Raw genomic sequence first — 10,439 nt, forward strand, 5'->3', positions numbered from 1 at the left:
CCCTATCAGAGGTTTCTAACACACATTTTCTACACCCCACTGCTGGCATGAAGCCAACAGGGGTAGGGGGAGAGGGATTAGGACTCTGAACATTCTCACAGGGAAGCTCAAGGTATCTTGCTCTCCTGCTTTCCTTTCCCAACTCTCAGGTCCCTCCCCTTTTGGAATGTAAAACTATCTCTTACAACAGAGCTACTCAAAGTGCTGGTTGGCAACAAGCTAAGTCTGGTTGGTGTCAGCACATAAATCACCGTATTGCTTCCTTCATCAAGAAAGTCTTGCTACCAAAAACACACACACACACACACACACACACACACACACACACACACAAATCAACAACAGTGCCAACTGAACTAAACAGTGTTCATAGTGATAAAGTTGATTTACATTCTGGAATAGGCTTCTTATCTCAGTAATAAACAGGTCTCAGGAGGCAGCTGAGTCTTGTACATTCCTACCTATTCTGTGGTTTGTGGATAAATTTTATGCCCAGCTTCCTTCCGGTTTCAGCTTTTGATGTTCAAAGCCAGCTTTTGGAATTTAAAAAACCTTTCCACTCTCTGGTACCTTGTCTTTCAAGACTATTGTTTCAGCTATGAGTTTCAAACAACCCCATTCAACAATTCAATTGACTCCTTTGTTCCAGCCTGTATCTGCCCTTGTCCTGAGAATATTTTTTTTAAATCATTGCTGTGAGACTGGTAAGGAAAAGATAATAATTCTGCCTCTGCGCTGTTCAGCTTTTTAATGTATTTCCTGTCTCCCTGGCTAGAACATCGCATGCTTTTTAAGGTTGAGTTTTATTTTATAAAGAAGAATTAATTCTCTCAGCATTCAGATTAATCAAAGTTTGCCTAGCTCTTTGTAAAAATGACTTTTTAATTACTAGTCATTTTGAATCTGCTCCCCTCTAACAGCACACATAATCAAAAAGTCACTCAATTAATGTGATGTTTATTAAGAATGTGTAATGATATGAGTAAATGCTTCTTATAATATGAACTGAAAAAAGTGGGTTACAATGTTGGGTTGCAGTGTGCATATAAGTTTTAAAATAACAACAAAAGGTCTAGGATTAGGAAAAAAACAATAGAAATAAATGCATCTGTTTATATTTTTAATTTATATAATATCCTTTAATAGAAAAATAATTTTAATTTTTTAAAAAAGTGACTGCACTTCCCTATTGACTTATAACTTGGGAAACACATTAGTCTTGATTACATTTTGCCTTACATTATTCTTTTGTTGGTTTATCTCCCCAGCCTCTGCTTTAAGAATCTTCTCTGCAGTATTTTAACCTTCAAAAGCAATTGAACTCCTCAGTTGTGGTGCTTTTTTTTTTCAGACGGAGTCTGTCTGTGTTCCCCAGGCTGGAGTGCAGTGGCACGATCTTGGCTCACTAAAACCTCCGCCTCCTGAGTTCAAGTGATTCTCCTGCCTCAGCCTCCTGAGTAGCTGGGATTACAGGCGCCCACCACCACACCTGGCTGATTTTTGTATTTTTAGCAGAGATAAGGTTTCACCATGTTGGCCAAGGCTGGTCTCAAACTCCTGACCTCAGGTGATCCACCTGCCTCTGTCTCCCAAAGTGCTGGGATTACAGGTGTGAGCCACCGTGCCCAGCCATGGTGCATTATTATTTTATCAACCCAGTGAAGAGCCCCTCTCTACATTCCTGATCCTCATTTCTACCCAACCTCCAGGTCCCCATATGCATTACTTGTCTGGCAATACATGTGCACCCTCCCTCACTGCATATGTATTGCTGATCCATGTGCAAACATGCTTCCAGTGTGCATGAAGGCTCAGTGCCATCCTATGCCAACCATCTCCTACTTTGCTCATCCAATGCCTTATTTTCAGGATTTTTCCCATCACCAAACCCTTGTTGTTTCCTATCTCAAAGAATAGTGAGGCATCTCAAACCCCTTACACAGACTGTGAAGTATTTGGAATGAAATTTATGAGTGACCTCCACCCTGAGATTACACACTGCTACCAGGCCTGTAGAATGTTTTCTAAAGCTTTATTGCAATATATTTTACATAGTACAAAATTCACCTATTTAAATGGTGCAATTCAGTGGTTATGTGCACACTGCAACCCCACATTATAACCCACTTTTTAAAGTTCATGTTATAAGAAGCATTTATTCATGTTATTACACATTCTTAATAAACATCACATTAATCTGATGACTTTTTGATTATATGTGTTGTTAGAGGGGAACAGATTCAAAATGGTAATAAAGAGTCATCTTCACAAAGAGCTGGGCACACTTTGATTAATATACTCCAAGGTTGTACAACTATCACCATTAGGTAATTCCAGAATATTTTCATCACCCCCAAAAGGAACTCTAAACCCATCAGCTGTTATTCCCCATTTATCTCTCCTCCCAAACCTTGGCAACCACTTTTACTCCCTGTCTCACTGAATTTGCATACTTTGGACATTTCACATACGTGGAATCATACAATATGTTGTCATTTATAACTAGCTTCTTTCACTTAGCATAAGGTTTTCAAATTTCACCCACAATGTAGTATTTCATTTAGTATTTTATTCCTCTTCCTGTCAGAATAATCTTCCATTACATGAATATACCATATTTTGTTTATCCACTGGGCTTGTAGAATTTAAAACAGCATCACTTTTAGTACCTAAAGCATAGTCAATTTCTGTCACGTAATTAAGATAATTATGTCTTTTTAAAAATAATAATAATTTAGGTATCTTAGCAAATGAAGAGAAAAAGGAAGAGAAGATATTTAGGAAAAACATAGGAAATTTCTATATTTTTCTATTCTTTCAGAAAAACAGAATTCTATGCAAGCTAGAAATGTTTTCTCACTTTTTCCCTGTGCCTACACATCTCTATACACCTTCCTAATCCTGAAAACCCAGAACACAGCTTTATGCTGGCTTGGTACTGAATACCCAGTAAGTGTTGAATAGGAAGGAAGAAAAGAAGGAAGGAAGGAGATTTTAAAAAGAATGGATATTATTTAAAAAAGGAAACACTTGGAAAAAATTATTTCCACCTTGCTCTTTCTTCTCCCCGAAGCCTCCCCCAATCTCCACCTTGCTAGTCTTCCTTTTTGCGATGCAAATGGTTGAGCAGACAGTAGTGGGGAGAGCTGCAGGAGAGGTCAGCGGTTAAGCTTAATTACAAGTAAATACAATTTCTCTGGGGTTGCTGTGGAAAGGAGAGCAGATAAGATCAGCGAAAAGTACTTGGAGGGCCTTGGAAGACAGCCCCTCTGCAAATATAGGATTGGCTTTTATTGTTGTTGCTGCTAATAAAACAGATGTTCTCAAAGCATTCCTCCAACCAGTGAGAGGGCTGGGGAAATCGCTATGTCTTTACTGGTTGCTGAAACCAAATAAAAATCAAATTAAAGTTTAATTCACCTCATAATTTTCTTCATGGCAGGTCTGCTCAGCAGCCTTGAGGCAGCGCCAATGTCCTCCTCCACTGTGGCGTACATCACCCTCAGCCCGGGGACCCCAGAGGTCAGCTGCACATTTCCCTCGTGGGTGTTTGCAGCTGAAGAAAAGGCCCAGGCTAAGACGAAAGGGTGTTGGGAGCTGCTGGAAGATACCAGAAAGGCCTTCCCTCCTCTTCCCGTCTCCAGGGTCTCCATGGCAACGGGGGGAAAGCTGCTAGGTATTCCAGCTATGTGACCCGGGCCATGTATATTACCCAGCCTCCTGAGGGGTGCCAGACCATAAACACTGAGCCGCCTGCAACCACAGATGTCATGCTCCCTCCTATGCTCCTCATACCCAGGACAGTGTCTGTGATAAGGAGGGCTCGAGTAACATTTCATGCACCCATGCAATAAAGTTTCCTATTCAGTTAATATGAGTGAGGGAATGAACAAATGAAATAATTTTTTCCAAGTGTTTCCTTTTTAAATAATATCCATTCTTTTTAAAATCTCCTTCCTTCCTTCTTTTCTTCCTTCCTATTCTTTGACACACAAATAATGTAAAACTTCCCAGGGCACTGTTCCAACTCTAACAGATGATTCCCCACGTGCTAGGAGTTAACAGCTTGCTACTGACTGTAAACTCAGAGTTGGGTTTTGCAGTTTTTAGATATATTGAGTGCTCTACAGATGCAAAGCAGTGACCTCCTCATCTAAATCAGACAAATGCAAAGATAAGGAGAAGATCATGAGGAAGCCAAGAGGTGGACAAACACAAACGCCCAGAAGAGTCTTCCAGGTCAAGAACTGTCTGGAGAAAAGCCATTGCAGTGACATGAGAATGTCAGAAGTAAAACCGAGGTAGGACCACACATTCTCTTTTGAAATTAGCCCCTGCTCATCCATTCATTTAACATTTCAGTGCCTACGAAGTGGACAAGACCATGTGGAGATGAATGAGACCACAAGCCCCTCATGAGACTGTGAGGGGCCTGCAGACTAGTAGGGGAGGCTGATGTGGAAATGAATTGTTACCTTACAAAGTGGCAAAGGCTGCAGGACTTAACGTCCAGGTGGTGCTGGGAGATGCTCCCCAGAGGAAGCAATGGGGAGATTCCTAGCAGGAATGACCTGACTCAGTCTGGGTCTTATAGAGTAGAGTCAACATCAGAAGGGGAAGTTCAGGATATAAGAATGTAGCCACCCAATGTAACCTTGCCTGCTGCCTAGGCAGAGCCAATTTATCAAGACAGGGGAATTGCAATAGAGAAAAAGTAATTCATACAGAGCCAGCTGTGCAGGAGACCTGAGTTTTGTTATTACTCAAATCAGTCTCCCCCAGCATTCTAGGATCAGAGTTTTTAAGGACAACTTGGTGGGCAGGGGGAAGCCATTGAGCCAGGAATGCTGATTGGTCAGGTCAGAGATGAAATCTTAGGAAGTTGAAGCTGTCTTCTTGCACTGAGTCAGCTCCTGGGTGGGGCCACAGGATCAGATGAGCCAGTTTATTGATCTGGGTGGTATCAGCTGATCCATCCAGTGCAGCATCTGCAAAATATCTCAAGCACTGATCTTAGGAGCAGTTTAGGTTGGGTCAGAATCTTGTAGTGTCCAGCTGCATGACTCCTAAACCATAATTTCTAATCTTGTGGCTAATGTTAGTCCTACAAAGGCGTCTTGTTTGGGGAAAGGGCTGTTATCGTCTTTGTTTTAAACTATAAACTAAGTTCCTCCTACGCCCAGGAATGAATAAGGACAGCTTGGAGGTTAAAAGCAAAATGGAGTCAGTTACGTTAGATCTCTTTCACTGTCTCAGTCATAATTTTGCAAAGGCAGTTTCAATCATAGAGAAGAGATAACACATTTGAGAGAAATGTGTTTCTTAATCCATCTTCAGTCTCTATTGTGAGGCAGACACTACCTCCACCAGGCATTTCCCTCTTTAAGAGTGTGTTTGAAGACACCCTAAACTTTAATATTTGTGGCAGACCTGATCTTTGCACAAATGATTGGGAGTTATTTTTTAAAGGGCCAGGGACTTCATCACTGCATATCTTTTGGCATGAGGCTAAAGAGAAGAAGGTGTAGAAATCCTGACATTGTTAGGAGATATTTTTCACGTTGTTTTATAAAATGTAATGTACTTTCCAAAACTGTATATAAGCTAACCAGCTTCTATCTCCTCTATCACAGACGGAGCTGAGCAGAGTTAAGCATTCTGATTTCAATTCATGAAGCAGGAAATCTTTCTGGCAGGTCCTGGTGAGTTTCCAGTTTGGCTGCTGACAGATAGAGAAATGTGCTTTCTATAGCCTCTTCCTCTCCATCCCACGTCCACTGTGCACATTCTTCAGAGCTGGCAAGAGTCACTGACAGGACATGGCACCCATGGTTTGAAGCGCCGACTTTTCTCTGCAGGTGGCCCAGAGCCAGTGAAGGACTTTCTTGAAGCACATAGCACGCCATGGTCATACAACGGCGATATGTAGCCTGGGTGTCACTCACTGAGACACATTTCCTCCCTCCACCCCCACCCATCTTTCTTAAAATTTAGCATTTTCTGGACAAGATCAGGCTTACTATAAGACAGTGCTTAGAAAAACTGATGTTAAGATGGAAAAAATAAGGGAAGGAGAGGGAAGAAAAGGTGGGAAAGAGATTAGAAAAAGAGGAGGAAGATGATGGGGAAACTGGAAACAAAGAGTTAAAAAAAGTGGGGAGGAATAATGCTGTGAGGTTGAAGACTTCTACCTCAATGCCTTTGCATTTGCTGCCTCCACTAGTAACTCTCTCTCCTCAGTGATCTCACTCCCTCAATTCACTTCACACATCACTTTACAGTGACGCCATCCTTGGACTCCCTAGCAAAATCCACCCCCTTCCGTCACTCGCTAATTGCTTAACCAGTTCTACTTTCCTTCATAGCAGTGATCACCACCTAGAATATCACACATTTATTGGTTTGTCTTTCCTCAAGGGAATGTAAACTTCACCAGTACAGGGACTTTTTCAATTTCATTCCCTGCTATATTTTAAGCATCTAGTACAATGCCTGGCACAGAGCAGGTATATTAGTCAGAGTTCTCCAGAGAGACAGAATGAATAGGCTATGGACAGACACATAGAAAGATATAAGAGGAGATTGATTAGGGGAATTGGCTCATGTGATTATGGAGGCTGAGAAGTACCATGACAGGCTACCTCTACGTTAGAGACCTCAGGAAGCTGGTAGCATGACCTAGTCCAAGTCTAAAGACCTCTGAACCAGAGAAGCCGATAGTGTAACTCTCAATCCAAGGCCAAAAGCCCAAGAAAACCAGGGAGAGGCCACTGGTGCAGGTCCTGACCTGACCTAAAGGCCAGTAAGTCTGGAGTTCTGATGTCCAAGGGTAGGAGAAGAAGGGTGTGCCAGCTCCAGAAGGGAGGGGAAAGAATTTGCCTTTCTTCTACCTTTTTGCTCTCTTCAGGCCCCCCTTGATTGGACAGTGCCTATGTACATTGAGGGCAGACTTCCTCCCTCAGTCCACTGACTCACACGCCGGTCTCCTCTGGAAGCACCCTCATGGACACACCCAGAAACAATGCTGTACCAGTTCTCTAGGTGTTCCTTAATCTTGTCAAGTTTGGCACCTAAAATTAACCATTACAGTAGGTGTTCAGTAAACATTTGTTGAATACATAAATGGGAGGTCCTGGGGCTCCTTAAGAAAAAACAACAACAACAACAAAAAACCTCCTCCTTCCCCACCCAATCTCACAATGTCCCTGGAAAGAATGATCATTTTTATTTCATAACTTTATTTCATGGAGATAAATTGTTTTTATTCACATATAGTTTGAACCTTCCCCTCCTTTTCATAATTTTTTCCTACCAACACCCTAACCTCCTATAGAGTGAGAGAGAAAGAGAGCGGGAGGACACGTGCCAGTTCGTGTGCCATCAAAGGAATCGGCCTTTCTTTCATGGCAATGCCTTTGGAGCAAACCTGAAGCCTGTAAGGCAACAACAATGACAGTCTCTTTCCCACCTCCCAGAAGAGGATGAGAATAAATCCAGCGATAATGGGAAGAGTGTGATGTGAGGCAGAGCTAACATCACAGAGATCCCAGGGAACATTATTTTTCCCTCTCCTTTCTAAAGACACCATAAAAAGCTCCAGATTTTTCTTTCTGAGTGGTGACTGCTTTAAAGAATATAAAATCTGAGATACTGTGAACCCCCACATGATTTCACCTCTGGCAACTGATGTGAGACACAGTGATGGGACTTCATGGTTGTTATATTTGACTTGCAGCCTTGGGAGGAGGGCAGTTAGAAAGGAGGACTGTCCTGAAGTAATGGTAGCCCCATTGGGGTTTGGGGCTTTGTGTCATAGTTTAAGCAATTCAGGGAGGAGAGATTGAAGGAATGGATGAAAAGGAACCACAAGAAAGAGAGGTGGGGGGAGATGCAAAAGTGAGGAAGCGGGAGAGAAGAGATAAAGGAGCCAAGCTCACTTGTTGCCCTGTCTATGGGGACCAAGAAATCTCCAGCTTGGGTTTGATCAGTTTAGGGCAATGACCCTCAAATCTTCACTTCCAGCAATCCTTAATCATTTGATGGAATTTTCTATCCAGCATACTTTATGTCATATAATAAAGGACTTGTGTGGTCTTTTTCCCAGGTTCCTGGGACTCTCTCAGCCCTCACCCCATGTGTCTCTTCATGTGGCTGGTCCTGACCTATATCCTTTCTCGTAAGTGTCTGTAATTGGAAGTAGAGCACTTTCCTGAGTTCTGTGAGTCGTTCCAGTGAATTATCTAACCTGACCAGGTCATGAGAATCCCTGAGTATCTAGTTAGTCCGAAGTGTAGGTGGCCTGGAGACCCCCTGAACTTGTGGCTGGTGTCTGAAGTTGAGACCCTCGTGAGGGGGACTGTGCCCTTCATTTGTGGGGTGTATTACTCAGGGTCCTCCAGAGAGACAGAATCAGTGGGATATATGAAAGGTGATTTATTAGGGGGAGTTGGCTCACACAATCATGGAAGTGGAGAAGTCCCACAATAGTTGTCTGTGAGCTGGAAAACCGGAGAAGCCGGTAGCACAGTTCAAAGCTGGTAGCATGAATGGTTCAGTCCAAGTCTAGAAGCCTCAGAACAGGGAAGCAGACAGTGCAGGCCCCCGTCATCTGAGGCTACAGACCTGACTGTCCCCAGAAGGCCACTGGCACAAGTCCCAGAGTCCAAAAGCAGAAGGGCCTGAGTCTTATGTCCAAAGTCAGGAGGAAAAAAAGCATTCCATCCCAGAAGGGAGAGAGAGAAAAAGGGGGAGAGAGAGAGAACAAGCCCCCTTCTTCTGCCTGCTTGTGCCAGCCAGGGCCACTGACGATTGGATGGTGACTGCCCCCTTAAGGGTGAATCTTCTGCTCTCTCTCAGTCCACTGACTCACACCCTCACAGGCATGCCCAGAAACAATGCTTCATCAGCCGTATAGGCAGCCCTGAATCCAGTTAAACTGACACGTAAAATTAACCGTCACATGAGATCTGCCCTAACTCTGGGTGGTTAATGCCAGAATTCAATTGCAGAACACCAGTGGGTGTTAGAATATCCTACTTATTCAATTTAGCAAAAATATTAATTCCTTGGTGAAGCCTTCCTTGACTTCCCCAGAATTAGTTGCTCCCTTTCTCTCCTTTTATTCTATTAATATATCTATAATAGCACACACCATATTTTTGCACACATATAGTTTTTCTATTGAAAGGTCTGTTTCCCCTATTATCTGGGCCCTCTTCAGGCAGGGCTCCCCTACTGTGTGCAGTCTAGGGACTTGGTGCCCTGTGACCCAGCCGCTGTAGCGGTGGCTAAAAGGGGCCAAGGTACAACTCAGGCCACTGCTTCAGGGGTGCAAACCCCAAGCTCTGGCAGCTTCCACATGGTGTTGGGCCTGTGGGTACACAGAAGTCAAGAACTGAGGTTTGGGAACTTCTGCCTAGATTTCAGAGGATGTATGAAAACACCTGAATATCTGGGCAGAAGCTTGCTACAGGGGCAGAACCCTCATGGGGAACCTCTGCTAGGGCAGTGCAGAAGGGAAATGTGGGGTCAGAGCCCCCACACAGAGTCCCCACTGGGGCACTTCCTAGTGGAGCTGTGAGAAGAAGACCACCATCCTGCAGACCCCAGAATGGTAGATCCACAACGGCTTGCACCATGTGCCTGGAAAAGCCACAGACACTCAATGCCAGCCCATGAAAGCAGCCAGGAGTGGGACTGTACCCTGCAAAGCCACAGGAGTGGAGCTGCCCAAAGCCATGGGAGCCCAACTCTTGCATCAGTGTGACCTGGATGTGAGACATGGAGTCAAAGGAGATTATTTCAGAGATTTAAGATTCAGTCACTGCCTTACTGGATTTTGGGCTTGTATGGGGCCTGTAGCCGCTTTGTTTTGGCCAATTTCTCCCATTTGGGACAACTGTATTTACCCAATGCCTGTACCCCCATTGTATCTAGGAAGTAACTAACTTGCTTGTGATTTTACAGGCTCATAGGTGGAAGGGACTTGCCTTGTCTCAGATATGACTTTGGACTTGGACTTTCAAGTTAATGCTGAAATGAGTTAAGACCTTGGGGGACTGTTGGGAAGGCATGATTGGTTTTGAAATGTGAGGATATGATATTTGGGAGGGGCTGGGGTGGAATGATATGGTTTGGCCATGTCCCCATCCATATCTCATCTTGAATTGTAGCTCCCATAATTCCCACGTTTTGTGGAAGGGACCTAGTAGGGGGTAATTGAGTCATGGGGCAGGTTTTTCCTGTGCTGTTCTCATGATAGTGAATAAGTCTCATGAGATCTGATGGTTTTATAAAAGGGCAATTCCCCTGCACTTGCTCTTTCTTGCCTGCCACCATGTAAGGTATGCCTTTGCTCCTCCTTTGCCTTCAGCCATGATTGTGAGGCCTCCCCAGCCATATGAAACTGTGAGTCCATTAAACATCTTTTTCTTTATAAA

General features: G+C 43.6%; 1 long non-coding RNA gene across 1 annotated transcript; it reads left to right on the forward strand.

The window, feature by feature from the left end:
* On the forward strand, nucleotides 3,738–10,439 carry LOC105371601 (uncharacterized). Its single transcript, XR_922250.3, has 3 exons — nucleotides 3,738–4,301; nucleotides 5,634–5,702; nucleotides 8,105–10,439. It is a non-coding gene; the product is annotated as an uncharacterized LOC105371601 (long non-coding RNA).

This window comes from Homo sapiens, chromosome 1 (assembly GCF_000001405.40).
Source record: "Homo sapiens chromosome 1, GRCh38.p14 Primary Assembly".
NCBI lineage: Eukaryota > Metazoa > Chordata > Mammalia > Primates > Hominidae > Homo > Homo sapiens.